Raw genomic sequence first — 19132 nt, 5'->3', positions numbered from 1 at the left:
AAAGGATTAACACATCATTACATTTCTAGTGCATTCTCTATACAGTGTTTCAGAAATGACAATAAAGCATTTCTAAAAAAAAATGACCACAATTAATGGGAAAAACAGGACTCAGCTTTCTAAGCATATTCAAAAATATTTAAAGTTACTGTTGAGAATAAAAACCGAAGATGCTTAAAAAATGGTTAATTTCTAATTTCCTATTGTAAACAATGGACATAACCCCAGTTAAATCACGTAATTCACCAAATTATAATATGTTTCATAGATAATCTGCCTCTTATTCTTCTATGTAATTCTAAATGGAAACAACCTTATAACCCTGATGTTCAAGCCCCAAGGAGTGCAGTGGACTCAGCTTGGTACAGTTGCAGAGATGGTGGACCAAGATTTAAGAGGACTGGGTTATTGTTCCAGCGGTGACAGTAAGCGTCGGGGCTTTGGTTTCCCCCGCTATTACACAAGGGAGTTTGACTAAGAAATCTCTAAAGGCCACATTAGTATCAAATTTCTAGAATCCTATTAAACTCAATGAGAAAATTCTAAAAAGATGAGGCTTCTTCAATACGGAGAGATGCAGTTCAGGGCAGGGGGACAAGTCCTGGTTCTATAACATCATGAATAATGTAGATAAAATTGAAAGCCATTTCCTGTTAAGGCCTCAAATCCACTAGAGCTTAGACTTATGAATACAAACGCATCACTTTAAGCAGCAATAACTTTACAGTGGCAAATGTAAATTTTTGCTTTCAAAGGCTGACGTATGTATGTGGCTTAGTGAAGAGAATCTATGGTTCTTGTCTCATCTCTGCTATTCTTTCCCTGGTTCTCTTTAGCAAGGCCCTCTATGAATTTCTACGAATTTGGGGTTGTCCACAGCTGTAATATGGAGGGATTGGATAAAAGGCTCATTAAGGTCCCATCCAGCTTTGACAACCACAAAGAAGAGATTTATAATGGAGTTTTATTTATATACTCTGGGTTTATCTTTAAGGAAAGTGTCATGAAGTGCCTCCTTCTCGCAAGTTTCCAGCTACATCCACTGTCAGAAACAGCCCACTAAGCTGCTGCAGTGCTGCTCTGACACTACCTGGCCTACTTAATATGCTCACATTTGGGCTCATTCATTATGCCAGTCAATTATTAAAATACCCAAGTTCCTGCTAAGTGTCAGGCACCTCTATGGCAGTGCCTTGCAGCCACCTCCTCGAGAGCAAAGCTTTCCTGCTGGACTCACCTTGGGCCTTGTTAACCCTTGGTCTCTGAAGTCATCATCATCACCCACTCCAAACTTCTGGCTTCGGCGTCTGCTATTGTTGCCAAGCACCTGGGCATTGGCTTTGAGGATGTGATTTATCACATGCAGGCAATACACATGGCGGATCTCTTCCCCGTTCTTCAGAGCAGTCCTTTCCGGGTAGAACAGGTCCCGGTAAGAATTCATAATTAAGAAGAGTTCTTTCTGGAGGGGGGTGAATGGGCTGCTTGATTTTTGGGGACCAGATAGGAACTGGCTGTTGGTCTTAGTCCAGGTGGATTCCAGAGGCTTCTGGAGATGAAGTGACTTTAAGTCAATATCCTTTGGGGGTTTAAATGTTTCCAACTTCTGAAACTTAGAGGAAAAGAAAAGCTGGCCCAGAATAGGCCACTAGGGGAGAAACAGATCAAGAGCCAAATTAGAAATGAATAACAGTAAATTACATTCACATAGTACTATATTTAGCGAATTTTTTCATGATTTATAGATCATCTCATTTAATCCTCACAACAGCCCTGCAAGGTAGTTACCATGATACTCATGTTATAGTTTAGGAAGCACTGAGGTTCATACAGAGGTTGTATGATACAAAGTTTACACAGAAGAAAATGGAGCTGAGGGCTAGACCCCAAGGTTTCTGACTTCAAATCTGAGCTCTTCACCCTATCAGTTGTCCCACACTGTTCTGTGGAATATATTCTGGGAAGAGTCAACATTCATTCTAGAAACAAAGGGGTTCCATGGTCAAATACCCTTGATAAACATCACAAAACTTAATTCCTCTGAGGGAGATTGACAATGTACACTCGATACTAAAGGTGTTGACAAGTTCTATGACAAGAAATCTGTCCATTTTGTTTAAATCCTAAGGAATACTATTTTCTATTTTGTGGGATACAAGTTTAAGAATTTTTGCATTATAGCTAAATTGCTGATCTAAAAATAGGACAACCTCAGCAATAAAAAGAAATAAATTACTGATAGCTGAAATAACTTGGATGACTCTCCAGGGAATCATGCTGAGTGAAAAAAAAACAATCTCAAAAGGTTACATGCTGTATGAGTCATTTAACATTTTTAAAATGACAAAATTATAGAAATGGAGACCAGATTAGTGGTTACCAGGGGTTAGAAATGGGGGTGGGGCAGGGTGCAGAGGGAGGCAGATATGGTTATAAAAGGGCAACAAGGATTTGTATTTTGCTGGAAATGTTCTGCATCTTGATGGCAGGAGTAGATACAGGAACCTATGCATGATAAAATTGTATATAAATATAGGCACAGGCATATGCAGTTGAACAGGAGTAAAACCAGATCTGAGTAAGACTGGTAGATTATATCAATGTCAGTTTCCTGGCTGTGACATTATACTACAGTTCTACAAGATTTCACCACTGAGGAAAACTGGGCAAAGGGTACAAGATGTCTTTGTATGATTTCTTACAACTGCATGTATATCTATAATTATTCCCTCAATAAAAATTTCAATTAAAAAAAGGATGACCAACTCTCATGAATGGCATCAGTGGTAAGAACAAAGAAGCAAAAACTGCCCAATATCTGGATAATTTATTTGTGGACCTACCTCAGATATTTCAAACAAATGAACAACAGTAGTACCTACTGTTTTAATGAACACTGTTTTACTGAACACTATGTATTAGTAAACTATTCTATTTTGAGATAGGTATTATTATCCCCCTCTAGCAGACTAGAATAGTGAATAGCAAAAAAGCAGATGAACTTGCCTTGGGTCAAAATGTGATAGCTCCTTGAAGATGTTGGTCTCCAAATCCACTCTTACCCATCATTATATTATCTGGCACCCACACTCCAGCTTCCTGGTGCGTTTTCTAGCTACAACTGTGCCCCACTAGGCTCTTCTAGCCTTCCTTATGCCCTGCTTCCCTATCAAGCCATCTACTGCAGGTGTATATCATACATTCTGGGAGGCCACTAAAACCCAAGACCACTGTTTTATTTAGAGCTTTCTCTATTTGTGACCGGGATGACCAAGCAACACTTACTTTAAGCTCGTGGGTAGTTTTGGGATTTGTGGCAACAGCCTGAATTGCTTTTTCTTTCAGTTCTTTGTTCACATGTTGAAGAAATGGATCTAATTCAGAAATAAAAAATGTCAGCACACTATGCAACTACAGAGGGGTTTTGTGGTCTTCCCCTGTGAAAGACATGTTGATCTTCATTGTGTTAACTCATCCTTTTCTCCATTGACTTTCCCCACCCTCTGGCCAAGTCCAGAGCTTAAAAACTTCTGAAAGGTTCATTTTCCTAAAACATTTCTCTAATTATATTACTTCCCAGCTTGAAAACTTTTGAAGAAACTTCTCAGCCTGGAATTCAGAGCACTTTAGGATATACCTCCAACCTGCATCTCCGTTATCATTTCTGGACTATATGGCCCTCAAATTCTTCTGCCTCTGTGCTTTTCCTTCCTTCAACTAAAAATTCCAGCCTCTCCTTCACTTCATTTTTGCATATCCAAATGTTATCAATTTAATGTTACCCACTGAATCACAATAAATACTTCCCAGGCTTACTGTGTTAGGCACAACGTTGGCTCACCTTGTTCCCTAGAGTCATCACTTTCTCAAGTCTCCTACTCTGCCCAACCCACCCATTCCAACACATATACATATATACATGTCTTATCTAGCAGACTGCAAGGTCTCTAAGAACAGGTTCCATGTCTGATTGATCTTGCACTGGGACACACAGATATGACCAATACTCCACTGAATTGAACAAATGATCCACATGATAGCATCTGCACTCCAAGTAATCTTTAGTATTCTGAGCTAGCCACCCAACCTTCTCTCCCAGTCCCACTCATAAGAAACAGAACAAAGTTAAATGACCCATCCAAGCATCCAAACAGTAAAATTTCAAATGAAATGCATCTTGTATTAAATATCTAAGAGTGAACAACAGGACATAAGAATTCTAGATGCTAATATATCTGTATGAGCAAAACAACCACAGAAATTATGGGACAGTCAAGCTTCCTAATGTTTCCTCCAAAGTTTCTAAGTTTTAATGGTTCAGAATGGAGTTTGTACTAAAATCTACAAATTCTACCTGTCACTTCTTCTCCTGCAAAATAACCAACAGAACTAAATGAGTCAAATGAGGATTAAAATTTCTGTTTCATTAAAGGTAAAGCTGGGTTGAAGAATGGCAATGAGATCAATGAAGGCAATCAGGATACAGAACGAGACCAACCTGACTTGCCCACCCAGACACTGGCTGAGAAACTGGACTTGAGACAGCAGGAACCCATCAAAGCCCGCCATAGGCACGTCTTGACCACGTGACTGCCATTTGGTCACAGGAGTGGTCAAGAGTCTGTGGGAGGCAGGAGACACAGGGTAGGGCTTTTTGGCTTTTGAGGGTCTCCCTGGTAATAAAGACCACTCAGATTAGCCACCCCTGGGTCTTGCAAATCTGAAAAATTACTGCTCCAAAAAGGAACAGCAAGTGAGGGGTAGAGGAAGTATTTTTTCCTCTTTTTCTTTCTCTTTCCCTACTTGGGGAGAAAATCAGAAATCTTCCCCTGACTCCAATAATGAAAATGTGAGGCCTGGGAAGCTGGCCTTCCCTACCATCATTCTTGTTTGTTCTCCTAAATGTCCCGTCCAACCCCTAAACACTGAGAAACACAAAATACCTTTTAGAATTATTTTTCCCAGCTCTAGATCTAGCCACTAAACTGTTTTTATTGCTGTTTGTTCCAATAATAGATTCAATGTGTATTAGTACACAAATTCCATACTAAGCACCTGGTGAATTCAAATAACACACACTGTGCTATGACCTTGAGAGGCTTTCAAAGAAGAGTTGTCTCCACTTTCCTCTTCCAGAAAATTGGTTTCCAGGCTGAACAGTGACTCGTGTTTTGCATCTGTGAACTCTTCGGGGGATGTTTGTGATGTGCCCGGTGGCTCTTCCCCATCTTCTTTTCCCTCAGGGTCAGCAGATAAAGCTACATCTGCAGTTTTGAGAAACATTTTATAAAATTATTTACTCACAAATTATACTTCTGTTGACAAAATTTATTTCCTTAGGCTATACCAACAATAGCGTTCATTGATACTATTTATATTTAGGTAAATTCAGGTAGAAAACATAGATTTCAAAATTAAGCCTAATCATCAACACATGATGCATGATGGTGGGTTTTATGTCTCAATTTGGCTGGGACACAGTGCCCAGATATCTGGCCAAACATTATTTTGGATGTTTCTGCGAGGGTATTTTTGGATGAGCGTTTATTTATTTATTTATATATTGAGACAGGGTCTGGCTCTGTCACCCAGGCTGCAGTGCAGTGGTGTCATCTTGGCTCACTGCAACCTCCACCTCTTGGGCTCAAGTGATTTTTCCACCTCAGGCTCCCGAGTAGCTGAAACTACAGGCATGCACCACCATGCCTGGCTAATTTTTGTATTTTTCTGTAGAGATGGGGTTTCGCCATGTTGGCCAGGCTGGTCTCAAACTCCTAAGCTCAATCGATCTGCCTGCCTCAGCCTCCCAAAGTGTTGGGATTACAGGCGTGAGCCAGATCTCTTTCTCATATACACACATATCCTACCGGTTCTGTTTCTCTGGAGATTTCGAATTAATATACCCACTTCTAGTTCTAGGAACTTATTCTAAAATAGTAACCAGACATAGTACACTAAGATGTACATGAGAGGATGTTCAAAGCAGCACTGATTATAAGAAATAACTGGGGGAAAAAGGGTCTATCAATGGGGTACAATCATATTTTTACAATGGAATACTATGTAATTAAGAAGCTAATGTGAATCCACAGTCACAGATGTAGGAAGTTACGGAAATGTATAAGGCCATTATACAGATACACATAAATATATATACATACTCATATATAATCATAAAAATGTAGTCTGAAAGGTTATATACAATGCTAAAGGTGTTTATCTCTGGGTAGCAGGGATAGAGGGTAACTATATTACCCTCTTAAATGTTTACAGTAAATATATATTATTTTTATAATGATAAAAAAATTTTCATTTTTAAAAATCCAAAAAAGCAAAGAAAAATAGAAACAAACAAAACAAACTCCTAAGTGTAAGTCAATGAATTTTTATCTCAGTAAAACTGATCAGTTAAAATACCTGGAATGATATATAATACCAGAAGGTATAAAAAAAAAATAAGGCTATAAGAAAAATAGGCATTAAAATAATGAGTAAAAAGTCACCCAGCTATATTCAGACAATGGAATGCTATTCCAGCAACTAAAAAGTAGTAAGTGACTAATACATGCACAACACAAATAAATTAGAAAAACATGAGAAGCAAAAATAGCTAGACACAAAAGGAGTCATACTGTATGATTCAATTTATATGAATTTCTAGAACAGGCAAAACTAATCTACAGTGACAGAAGGCGGGTCAGTGGCTGCCTGATGCCAAGGGTGGGGAACTGACTGCAAAAGGATAAGAAAAATTTTTGGAGGTAATGGAAATGTTCTGTATCTTGATTTGGATGTATACCTTTGTCAAAACCTGTCAGACTGTATATTTAAATTGGATACGTTTTACTGTATGTAAATGATACCTCAATGAAGGTGATTTTGAAGTTAAAGAAAAAAGTCACCTTCAAGTCTGAGTGACACAGAGTCCCTGAAGCCTTCCCTAATTTACACTGGCAGTGTTCAACCACTCTGCCTCTCTTCAACACCTTACATCTAGCTGTTCCATGCAATCGCAAATCTACTGTTTGAAATTTTTTATATATATTTATGTCTATCTTCCATCAAACTTGGTCTCCCTAAGAGAAGAACAGTAACCTCTTCAATAAATTCAGACAGTCACAAAGACAGAACTGTGTTCTCCTTCCTCTGTATTAGGAGGTCTTTCACTAGTACTGATGAAGTCCCTGAAATTACAAGCAAAAATGTTATTTCTGCCTAGCTGTGCTAAGAAGGTTCTGTGTTTCCATCAGATTCTCAAAGATACAATCAAACCCAACAAGGGTAAATCCCTATTTTGGATTCATGTCCTTTCATCCAACTCACACAGTATATAAGGTACCATGCTCATGAGATGAACTGTCTATAGTTCTGGCAAAGATGATGAGCCTATAGTAAAGACACTTACTCTCTGGACTTTCAGTAGACTCTGCAGCCATCTCTTCTTCCACACTGACATCGCTACCACCATCTTCATCGTTCATTTCTGCATCATCTACAATACTGTCTTCTTCCTCTTCCTCCTCCTCATCTTCCTCTTCTTCCTCAGAAACATTCTTTAATGTAGCAAGTAGTCTGTGGTAGCCAGAAACTTGTTGTGGTTCACTCTCTGAGTCGCTTTCAGAATCTGAAGAATCTGAACTCTCTGACTAAAAGGAAAAGGAGAATTTTAAGAACAAAAACTATATTGTTCTTATTGTTACCCTAAAACTATCATCAAGCCAACATCTATTCAACGAAGCCCAAATTCAAATTTACTTAAAATTGCTAATCTAGCTATGATTCTAGAAGCTCTTCATATGCTCCAAACTGCTACTGCCCCACTTTTAAAACATAAAACTTCAGGTTATGAGATTTAATTTATGTCCCAGGCATTAGGCCACAGGTTTAATAGAACAACAGGATAATTACAAAACAACAAAAGAAAACAGGTTTCTTTTTTTTTTTTTTTAGTTTGTTGTAATATGATAGGCCCTTTGTTCATTTTGCACTGTATTTGTGACTCCTTTATGCTAACCAAAAAAGATATTCCCTCTTAGGATTCACTAAGAGCCCTCTGATAAGCCTCTGTAACAGGGCCTAATAGGCTAGTCTCCTGGGACAATTTCAAACTGTGGCTTCTGTATTAGATATCACAATGGCATTTTTATAGACATCTGCATTTAAAATTAAGTGATACTGCCAAAATAATAGCTTGCATCTGAAATCAAAAGGAATAGAAATGTAATCAAGCTTTATTATTAGATATAATCTTAGTGGGAACAACCCAAAACCAACTATTAAAAAGAAGGTAGAAAGCATTACCAGTTGACAAATCTGTGGCTTTGCTTCCTTTCTGGAAACCCTAAAAAGAAACAGGCAATGTTACATTCTAACTACTAGTATGTAGAAATTAGGAAAAGGTCAAATGAGATGTTAAATGAAAAAGGCAGAATATAACATTATAAATACATTTTAGATATAGTCATGCAAAAATTACACATGCACTTGGGCAGGGCTGGCAAGAATATGGTTAATAACTGACAAATGAAAAGTTTAAGGAGGTCACATGACAAACCCTAGAGTCACACAAGGCTCTCATCCAAAAGAAGGATACAACTTGGCTAAATAAAAGATTTCGGGGTTCATGTTTTTCTAGCAAATTTCTTAATTAGAATGTCCCTCTAAGCTGGGAGCGGTGGCTCATATCTGGAATCCCAGCACTTTAGGAGGCCAAGGTGGGAGAATCACTTGAGCCCAGGAGTTTGAGACCAACCTGGGTAACATACGGAGACCCTGTCTCTACAAAAAAATAAGAAAAATTAGCCCGGAGTTGTGTTGTGCACCTGTAGTCTCGGCTACTGGGAAGGCTGAGGCAGGAGGACCGCTTGAGCCCAGGAGGTGGTGGCTGCAGTGAGCCAGGATTGCAGCACTGGATTCCAACCTGGGCAACGAAGTGAGACCCTGCCTCAAAAAAAAGAAAAAAGAAAAGAAAAGAAAAAAAGAATGTCCCTAACTGATGACAAAGCAGCCCAAAGTAGTGGGATGAGCATTGAGATCATAACTGCACCTAGACATTTCTAGAGAAACCACAACTACTAATACACTTAGTTCCTTATCGTAATTGCAAAGATCAATGATGTCCCAACAAATTCTTTAAAAACACACACAACATATGATGTGACTATAACTAACAATTTATTGTATATTTTCAAATGGCTAGAAGAGCGGATTTTCAATGTTCCCAACGCAAAGAATTGATGTTTGAGATGATGAATATGCTAATTACCCGGATTTGATCATTACACATTGGGTACATGTATTGTTATCAAAATATCACACTGTATCCCACAAATATGTACAATCATTTTATGTAAGTTAAAAATAATTATAAAAACAGGCCAAGCGCGGTGGTTCACGCCTGTAATTCCAGCACTTTGGGAGGCCAAGGCGGGCAGATCACCCGAGGTCAGTAGTTCGAGACCACCCTAGCTAACATGGTGAAACCCCGTCTCAACTAAAAATACAAAAAATTGATCGGGTGTGATGGCGGGCGCCTGTAATCCCAGCTACACGGGAAGCTGAGGCAGGAGAATCGCTTAAGCCCGGGAGACGGAGGTTGCAGTGAGCTGAGATCGCGCCACTGCACTCCAGCCTGGGCGACAAAGCGAGACTCTGTCTTAAAAAAAAAAAATTATATATATACATATATATATGTGTGTCTACAAAAAATTCCTAGATCTCTGACCACACAAAAATCCGCCCCCATAGCTGGGCGCGGTGGCTCACGCCTGTAATCCCAGCACTTTGGGAGGCCGAGGTGGGTGGATCACCTGAGGTCAGGAGTTCAAGACCAGCCTGGCCAACATGGTGAAACCCCATCTCTACTAAAAATACAAAAAATCAGCCGGGCTTGGTGGCGGGCGCCTGTAATCCCAGCTACACGGGAGGCTGAGGCAGGAGCATCGCTTGAACCCGGGAGGAGACAGAGGTTGCAGTGAGCCAAGATCGCGCCATTGCACTCCAGCCTGGGCGACAGAGCGAAACACCGTCTTAAAAAAAAAAAAAAAATCCTCCCCCACACAACGGGCGTGCCTCTTAGCAGGAAATTACAGGCTCAACAAAAAGGCCCGTGAAGCACTCCATCTCCCGGCGGGATGGCGCCAGAATCTCCCCGGCCGAGCACAGCGGGAGCCAGGGAATAGTGGGAAAAGGCCGGAGCAGCACTATCTGGGAGACCAGAGGACCAAACTCGAGGATACATCTCTGGCGACTGGGGAGCCCTGCCACGCCCCTTCAGACCTGTCATAGAAGGGATGCTCCTCGCCGAAATCTCGAAGATGTTTCTTCTGCTTTTTAGTTAGGGTGTTGAGTAGCTGGCTCTGGCTCCGGCTCCCGCGTTTGCCCATAGCGAAAACGTCAAGTTTGCCCACTTGCAAGAGTCGCGGTTTTCCACCAGGAAGTTGTCCAGTCAACACAAGCACGTGGGCTCGCTGACTGCGCTTTACGGCGAAAGCAAGGTGCCATAAAGCAGATCCGCTTTACGTCGCGCTCGTACGACAGGCTTAGAACATCCGGTTCCCGGTTCTGCCCCCTACCGCAGCTCTTTGAAAGCACGGGAGTTCGTTCACTAGTGTTCTCAGAGCCCTAGAACGTGGGCAGCTGGGCTTCCCGGGTTGCGTGAGTCGGGGGCATGAGCTTTGTGCTTGTGTTTTGGTTATGGAAATCAGTCTGCGTAAATGTGTAGTAGCGGAGATAGTCGAATGCAGTGACTTTACAGTATACTGCAATAAAAATATCAACCAACATTTAAGGGTGCCTGAACATCTCACTTCATCACCACAACAGTGTACAGATAGGTCTTGTTAATAAGCCTGGTGTTGCAGATAAGGAAACTGATGCTTAGAAAAGATAACACGCTAGCGGCCGGGCGCGGTGGCTCACGCCTGTAATCTCAACACTTTGGGAGGCCGAGATGGGCGGATCACCTGAGGTCAGGAGTTCGAGACCAGCATGGCCAAACATGGTGAAACCCCGTCTCTACTAAAAGTACAAAAATCAGCCGGGCGTGGTAGCGGGCGCCTGTAATCCCAGCTACTCAGGAGGTGAGGCAGGAGAATCGCTGGAACCCGGGAGGTGGAGGTTGCAATGAGCCGAGATCACTCCACTGCACTCCAGCCTACTCCAGCCTGGGCGACAAAAGCTAGACTCCATCTCGAAAAAAAAAAAAAAGAAGAAAAGAAAAGAAAAGATAACACGCTAGCAAGAGAAGAGAGAAAAACCTTAACTGATGCAACCACATGCTTTTACCCATTAGGGTCTGCCGCCTGTGTGTGTTATATCAATCATGGGGCCCACAAGTCTGAGATTCCCACCCTCACCCTATTCTCGCATTTTCTGAAAGTATTGGAAGAGTCCCCGCAAACAAATCTGTTCCAGCATTCCCCATTTAACAACAGCAGAAACACATCTAGAGAGGTAAAGTGACTTTACTGAAATCACCCCAGTCAATGCTAGAAAAGGCTGTGAAACCCAATCCAGTGTCTCATAACTGAACTCGGACAAAAGGGGATGGAAAAGCTTTTGAAGGTAAAGGAACCATCTTACATTTTGATCATGCTAGTAGTTACACCTTGTATACATAAGAAAAGTTAAACTGTACAGTTAAAATGGGTGAATTTTAATGTATTTAAATAACACCTAAATAAACAGGAAAAAGCAAAAATATAAAAGTAGACTCAGTATTCTAGGGATTTGCAAGTGTGCAGGGCTGCTTGAGACCACAGGATAAAGATGGTGAGATCCTTTTCCTAATAGTAACTTATGCTACCATGTTCTATAGAAACAGAGTGCTTAAATCATAAGCCGCAGAATTCACTTGAATATTTACGGTAAAACAGGAGCGTCCAAAATGAGAGAAATGAGAAGCAAAATAATAGCTCTGCTATTGGAGTGCTACTGTGGGAAATTTGGGTTTTCCCTGATACTGTGTCACACCATAGAAGTTGTAATAAAACCATTAGAATGCGATTCTTGTCAGTTCTAGTGACCATCTACTATTCCTAATTAGATTCGGAGAGGCTGGGGTGGGGATGGGAGGACAGGGCCGGAGAATATGAGGAACACATGCAAACAGAGCGGGTGGTGCCCAGCAGCTGGGCCAGCCAAGGAACCCATAAATAGCCATTTGTCTTCTATGTAATTTCAAGATAAAAGGTACAGTCACTTAGGTCAACAAAAGCCTGTTTGCAAGATGTCATCATATATTTTAAGGTGCTGACCACAGTATAACTTGGCTATAGCAATAAAGAGCCATCCTTTTTCCCCCTCCCAACATATCCCAAGTGCCCCAGTTTCCCTCCCCAGAGGCAGCCACTTTCTTGGTGTTCTTCCAGAGATCTTCTATGAAAGCTATATTCTCAAGCACTTGAGGTGACTCTTACTCTCCCGGTTTCCACACCCTTGTGGTCTTGTGTACAGGTCTAGACGGTTCTCAGGTTCAGGTAAAAATTTACCCTAGCCCCACCCAAGCAGTCTCATCATTGGCTCACTGGGTCATGGAAAAAGAAGCCCTTTTTGTCCTAAAAATATTTATATTATCCTTTGACAACATAAAAAGGGATCCTTTGTGAAAATTTAACCTAAGAGCCAAGAATGTAAGCATTTCTCCCCGCCCCGCCCCCCCGTGAAAGTTCTCTTAGTAAAACCTGCACAACGATGATGTATATGCCAACAAATGAAGGCCTTAGGAAAACTGTAATGAAGACAAAATTTGTTCTTCTTTTTCCCTCCCTCTGCCCTTCCGTTTCCCTCCCCCAACGTTTTCTTTTACTTCTACTCACAGGAACTCCATATTTTCAGTGTTAAAGGCAGTCCAGGAAATAACCCTCTGTATTAGTTTACAGATAGCTGTTAATGAATTAACAAGTTACTTTCCTTGGGATATTTGCAATTTCCAGAAGATTCTCTAGGATAATGATCTCAAGGAGTGGGAGAAGGATAGCTATCCCTTAGGACAAGAATATCAGAATGTTTCGGAATCAGTTAATAATTTAAAAGAAAAAAATGTTTTATATGGCACATTTTAAGTGTATACAAAAGTAGACAAAATGGGAGAATGAACTCCCATATACCTATTGCCCAGCTTCAGCAACTGTCAACTCAAGGCCATCTTGTCTCATTTATATGCCCAACCACTGCCCTGTCCCTACTCTGCATTATTTTTGAAGCAAATCCCAAACATCATATTATTTCATCTGTAAATATTTTAGTGTGCATTTCTAAAAGTTAAGGGTTTTTTTAATGTAGCCTCAATGGCATTATCCAACCTAAAAAACACTGAAGTTAACTGTTTAATATAATCATATATACTGCCAGTGTTCACATTTTTGATTGTCTCATAAATGTTGTCTTTTAAAAATACTTTGTTGGTTTAACATGTTATGCTCTTCTCTATATTTCTTATGAATTGATTGTTGGATCTAGAAGTTTGATCACACTTTGTTATACTTGGTATTTTGTACTTCCATCAGAAGGCATATGATGTCTGGTTGCCTTTCTTTCTGTGATGTTACCAGACATTGATGCTCAATGTCTAAATTCATTAATTCATGAATACATTATAATTCTATTTCAGGGAGTGATACTCTGATTCTGTCATTTATTCTTTACTTAGTTGCTGAATTCTTGTTGTGAAGACAAATTTCTACCTTAATTAAATTTTGGTTACCCAGTGGTACAGTTTATATAGGAAAGAATAAATGCTTGATTCTTTCCCTTCATTTGCCAATTTTCAAGGTAAGAAGTTGATCACTAGATTTAATGGTGGCCAATTAAGTTTTGGTTTTTATTTTTAGTATCATTATGAATTCATGGAGTTCTACAAATTGATATATTCTAATTGTAAATATCATGATATATATAATTTGAAAGTACTTACTTGACATATAGCTATAAATATTTAAAGACACAAGTCAGTCACTTTATAATGCAAAATACAGAAAGTAAGCAGAGGGTCTATCTGAGATTCTCAACAGAGCTAGGGGGAACACTGCTTGAGGATACATCTCAGATGCTGGGGATGTTTGAGATTTATTTTTTTTTTGATAACAAGGTCACATAGTTTCAAGATATGTTGAGAGGAAGCCATGTATATCCAAAGGTATGACTCTCTAATGGTGAAAGTCAGACACCTCAGCTTCTGATTTGGGAAGATTCTAGGGAAGGATTTTGTGTGTGTGTGTGTGTGTGTGTGTGTGTGCTTTCCTAGTAGCCTTAAAGTAGACAGTTTCCTACATACAAGACCAGCTCTTCTACAACATGTATACACGCATGTCTGTGTACAGACCCAAAGCAATCCAGCCTCTTCCCGAGACTGCTGGCAGAAATCACTCTCTCACTACCTTATAAAATTATGGAATTAGCTTACTTGTTTAAAAAAATATTTACCTAACACTTAGGTGCTGGCAGCCAAAGCTAGGAGAAAGAATAAGATCATGCTAGTCTCCTCAGGGCGTTCACAGTCTTGTCTGGGTGTAGGTAAGTACACAGACAATTACAATACGCTGTGCTGAATGCTGAACTGAACAATGCTGGATGCTAAGGAATCTGCAAGGACACATTTACTCAGGTGGGGGGATGCTGGTCTCAGGCTGAGCATGTGTCAGCCAGACACATTCATTGAACACTAGTATTGAACTCAAAATTGATCGAAATTATAGATATGAGGCTGTATGAGTTGTGTTTCCTGACCTCATCCACAGTAAGTGTGTGTGTTCAAGACAGGATATGACGGATATAGGACAATAGGAAATTAAGAAGCTGTGTAGTCATCGGATTCCACAGAATTTATTGTACGTGGAGCAATAAGCTTCTAGGTGGAGCAGACTTTAGAAGTGAGATTATGTCTGCGAAGAGCAAAGCTTTGTGATGCACGCTACATAACATAAAAATACAAAATATGAGTACATATGTCCCCTGCCCTTTCCATTCATCTGTACCCATAAGAAGTATCCACTGTGAAACTCAGAACCTGGAATATAGTGAACATTTATAAATATGTTTCATCAGGTGTATCAGGGATTGATTTACATTAGGTTTAGCTTAAAATGGAAAATATTTTATCGTATTACTTTAGTTGAGAACAAGCCTTAAATGCTGTTAGAGGGCATCAAGTTTTGCATTGCTCCCTCTAGTGGGACGTTGGTATAACTACATACTATTTTTCGTCTGTTGCGGCAAGGGCTCAGCTGTTCATACATTCATTCATTTTATCAAGCATTTTCTAAGCAGTTACTGTGTTCCAAGAATGACACTGGGCATGAAGGATTTAAAAAGCTCAAACATCAGACTTTTCCCTTGAAGACCTCAGAGTCTAGTTGAGAGACAAAGCAATTAACAAAGAATGACATTGTCATGGGCTAAAAGACGTACAAAAGGGTTAAAGGAACCCAGAGGATAAAGAAACTCATTCTGCCGTGGAGAAGAGGGAAAAGTTTGTGGGGAACTGCACAGAGGATGGGCTGAGTCAGGGTTTCCTGGGTGAATAAATAGGAAGAGAGAATTCCAGGTAGAGGCAATAGCATGAACAAAAGTATAGAGACGTGTTTGGATAACTGCAGTGGTCCACGTCACTGAGGTGGACGGGCAGGACAGGAGGGGTTAGAGAGCAGGCAGGTGAGGAGCCAGTCCATGAAAGGCCTTGGATGCCTTGCGGAGAAGTTGACATCCAATCCCATAAAAGGTGACGAGCTGATAAGGGATTTCAAGCAAGGAAGTTATGTGATCAGATTTGGAGTTTAGAGAAATCACAAGGATGTCTGGTGTGGGTGCCAAGGCTATTAAACCTTCCTTTCTGATGCCTTACCTGAGCAATTAGTTTGCTTTGGATGCTGCCCACCATGACTTTGGAGACTTTTTCAGCTGGGCGCTGTGGCTCATGCCTGCAATCCTAGCACTTTGGGAGGCCAAGGTGGGTGGATTAATTGAGATCAGGAGTTCAAGACCAGCCTGGCCAACATGGTGAAACCCCATCTCTACTAAAAATACAAAAATTAGCTGGGCGTGGTGGCATGTGCCTGTAGTCCGAGCTACTTGGGAGGCTGAGGCACGAAAATCGCTTGAACCTGGGAGGTGGAGGTTGCAGTGAGCCAAGATTGTGCCACTGCATTCCAGCCAGGGCGACTTTGAAGACTTTTTCATATGTTTACCAAGTGCTTCCTCCTACTTCTCAGCGTTTATTGAAACCAGGATCTCAAGTCTCTCCTGGTATAATTATCATATTTTGAGACTGTAATGAGTTCAGTTTACCAGAAACATCCATGAAATCCACACTATCCATGCTGGTCACTATGCGAATATGGTTATAATATGATGGAATCACATGGGTGAACCCAAGGGTCCAGCTCTCCACAGCTCTTAACTTCTTATGTTCTCCCTTTATCCCTGCGGGCTCAGAAACACTGCATCCATCTGCCCAACAAGTGCCCAGATAATTCTTATTATTTATTTATTTATTTTTTTGAAACAGGGTCTCACTCTATTGCCCAGGCTGGAGTGCAGTCATGTGATCTCAGCTCACTGCAGCCTCTGCCTCTCTGGTTCCAATGCTTTTCCCATCCCAGCCTCCCGAGTAGCTGGGATTACAGGCGTGCACCACCACACCTGGCTAATTTTTTTTTTATTTGTATTTTTAGTAGAGATGGATTTCGCCATGTTGGCCAGGTTGGTCTCGAACTCCTGACCTCAAGTGATCTACCCACCTTGGTCTCCCAAAGTGCTGGGATTATAGGCATGAGCCACCATGCCCAGCCGATGTCCAGATAATTCAATTCACATATTAAGCTATAGATAGATTCCCCTTAGACATCTAAGTGGAAAGGTCCAGGCATGTGGCACATCTGGAGTTCAGGAGAGAGGTCCAGGCTGCCAGGATGACCAAGCATATCTGAGAGTGGTCAGTGTATGATTGGGACTGAATGAGATTACTTAGTATAAATATAGAGAAGAAGCCTGAAAACTGAGCCCTGGGGTAGCTGCGAATTTAAGACACAGGACAGATGAAGAAGAACCAGCAAGGTGACTAAGGCAGAGCAGCCACTGGGGGAAGAGGAAAGCTGGTGTTGTCTCCCATTTATGGACTGATCCTTCTTAGGAAAGGCAGGTTTACAAAAGAGTTAAGACTGAGGATGCTGGACTCACATCGATCTGGATTCAAATCCTAGTGACGCATTAGTGCTAAATGACTTTTACACCTCATACAGGGGACTGGGTGCAGTACAGAACCTGGGGAGTGTTTGTTTGCTGAGTAATCGTTGATTCTGTACCACTGCACTCCGGGGATATATTAAGTGCCAAGGGAATTTATGTGAAAGAATGAAACAAAGTCTCTGGCCTCAGGGAGCTCACAGTCCAGAGAAAGGGAGCAGTCATAGAAGCCAGTGATTCTCCACAACATCACAGTGTGATAAATTCTCTCATGAAAGTGTGAGCCATCACTGAGGGAACAGAGAGGAGGGAGTCATTAGTCCAGCCTAAGGTGGCCTGACTTACATATGACGCATTTTTTTTCTTTTTTGCCTGTTATGTGCCATTTTGCCCAAGAAAATCACGACTCTTCTGAGCACCGTTGATTAATTTATGTGATGGCTTACAAGAATTTGTTTATTTTTGGAGGGGGAGAAATAAGGGTAAAAAATCCCAAGGGTACAGATTGTGGTCCTGCTTTTTAAAAAAATTCAGTTAGGAATTACAATCTTGAATGAAACTGAGTCTATAATTGCCTATTAGCCCAAATCAATGTTCTCTGCCTTTTGGCTGTTACCAAATCACTCCCTGGTGTAACTTTGACATCCCAGCCTTAACCCCTGAGACTATTACATCTGGTGTGGTAGGCTTCAGCGATTTTAATGTTTTATTTGGGCAGTTATTTACCTTCCATTTTGGGGGCAGCTTTTCTTCTTTAGACAGTGAAGCCCCTAAAACACCAGCTTTTCTCATATTTACTTTAACAACCATACCCACTTCTCATGAACAAGATTTTCTATCATTTTCTTGTACTTTTTTGTTTCTTCTTACTTTCTTAGTTAAGCATTCATTCTGGCTAGAACTAAAATTTTTAGAAATAAAATTTATAACTAAAAATGTTCTTTCAGCTGGGTGCAGTGGCTCACGCCTGTAATCCCAGCACTTTGGGAGGCTGAGGCAGGCAGATCACTTAAGGTCAGGAGTTCAAGACCAACCTGGCCAACATGGCAAAACCCTGTCTCTACTAAAAATACAAAAATTAGCCAGATGTGGTGGTGTGTGCCTGTAATCCCAATCCCAGCTACTCAGGAGGCTGAGGCAGGAGAATCACTTGAACCCAGGAGGCAGAAGTTGCAGTGAGCCACGGTCACACCACTGCACTCCAGCCTGGGCAACAGAGTGAGACTCCACCTCAAAAAAAAAAAAATAAAGAGTCCTTTCATGAGTTTATTATAAATTCTTGCACTGGAAATTCCACAAAGGCAGATTGCAAAACTGGTTGTAATTCAGTGTTGAATGCAGTGGAATAGTATTGCCCTTATTCTGCTAACTAATAGCTCCTCTAGCTCTATCTGAAGACACAATTAGGGATTTGGGAGCCAGATAAATGTTGGATAATTTTGTTCTCCAGCCCTAAAGTAACTGTAACTGTAATTCCTTTGATGGCTAAGGTAGATGACGGTGAATGTATTTGGGACAGGACAGGTTCTAGTGCTAAGAGAGATGAGGGCAGCCTGGGCCAGGTCTGGACATTGTCTGCTGGAATACAAAGAGAAATTTTTTTCTCAACCACACAGGAATATACCCTCAAACCCATGTTGGCTCTTCAAGAAACAAAAACACTTTAAAAATCATTAAAGGAAAGGAAATCCTGAGAATTCTGTATTCCTGATTTAAAAAGTGAAGACTCTAGACTTTTTTTCCCAAGAAAAGATAGTTAAGGTTTATTTCCTAAGTAGGATATGCTATTTTAAGAATAATCATTCTTAAAAGTTGTCTCTGTGTTTCAGTCTTTAATGAAAAGGACTGAGTTTCTTTTAATGTGGGATTCTCAGTGAGGCTGAGCTTCTATAGGGTTAGATTAGTAGGAAGTCCATTCTTTCCCCTGGTTTGGCCAAGTCTCTCAAAAATG

The 19132-nt window shown here is 40.8% G+C and overlaps 1 protein-coding gene across 2 annotated transcripts in view, besides 1 other annotated feature; it reads right to left on the bottom strand.

Annotated features, from left to right (window-relative positions):
• UTP25 (UTP25 small subunit processome component) overlaps window positions 1–10477 on the bottom strand; it is a 29594-nt gene extending 19117 nt beyond the window's left edge. For both annotated transcript variants that reach the window (NM_014388.7, XM_006711275.4), the window contains exons 1-6: window positions 10279–10477; window positions 8302–8341; window positions 7406–7646; window positions 5091–5264; window positions 3286–3374; window positions 1238–1648 (exon numbers count right to left, since the gene is read on the bottom strand). In NM_014388.7, the coding sequence (NP_055203.4) occupies window positions 1238–1648; window positions 3286–3374; window positions 5091–5264; window positions 7406–7646; window positions 8302–8341; window positions 10279–10385 (1062 nt within the window). In that variant the 5' untranslated portion in view covers window positions 10386–10477. The remainder of the gene's footprint in view (window positions 1–1237; window positions 1649–3285; window positions 3375–5090; window positions 5265–7405; window positions 7647–8301; window positions 8342–10278) is intronic.
• Window positions 10388–10437: an enhancer, noted in NCBI's record as "active region_2477". NCBI's record gives its function as "activates an Ori minimal core promoter by ATAC-STARR-seq in GM12878 lymphoblastoid cells {active_cell/tissue: GM12878}" and the evidence as "EXISTENCE:reporter gene assay evidence [ECO:0000049][PMID:35858748]".

This window comes from Homo sapiens, chromosome 1, assembly GCF_000001405.40.
Source record: "Homo sapiens chromosome 1, GRCh38.p14 Primary Assembly".
Taxonomy (NCBI): Eukaryota; Metazoa; Chordata; class Mammalia; order Primates; family Hominidae; genus Homo; species Homo sapiens.
This window is presented reverse-complemented; position numbering and strand designations above follow the sequence as displayed.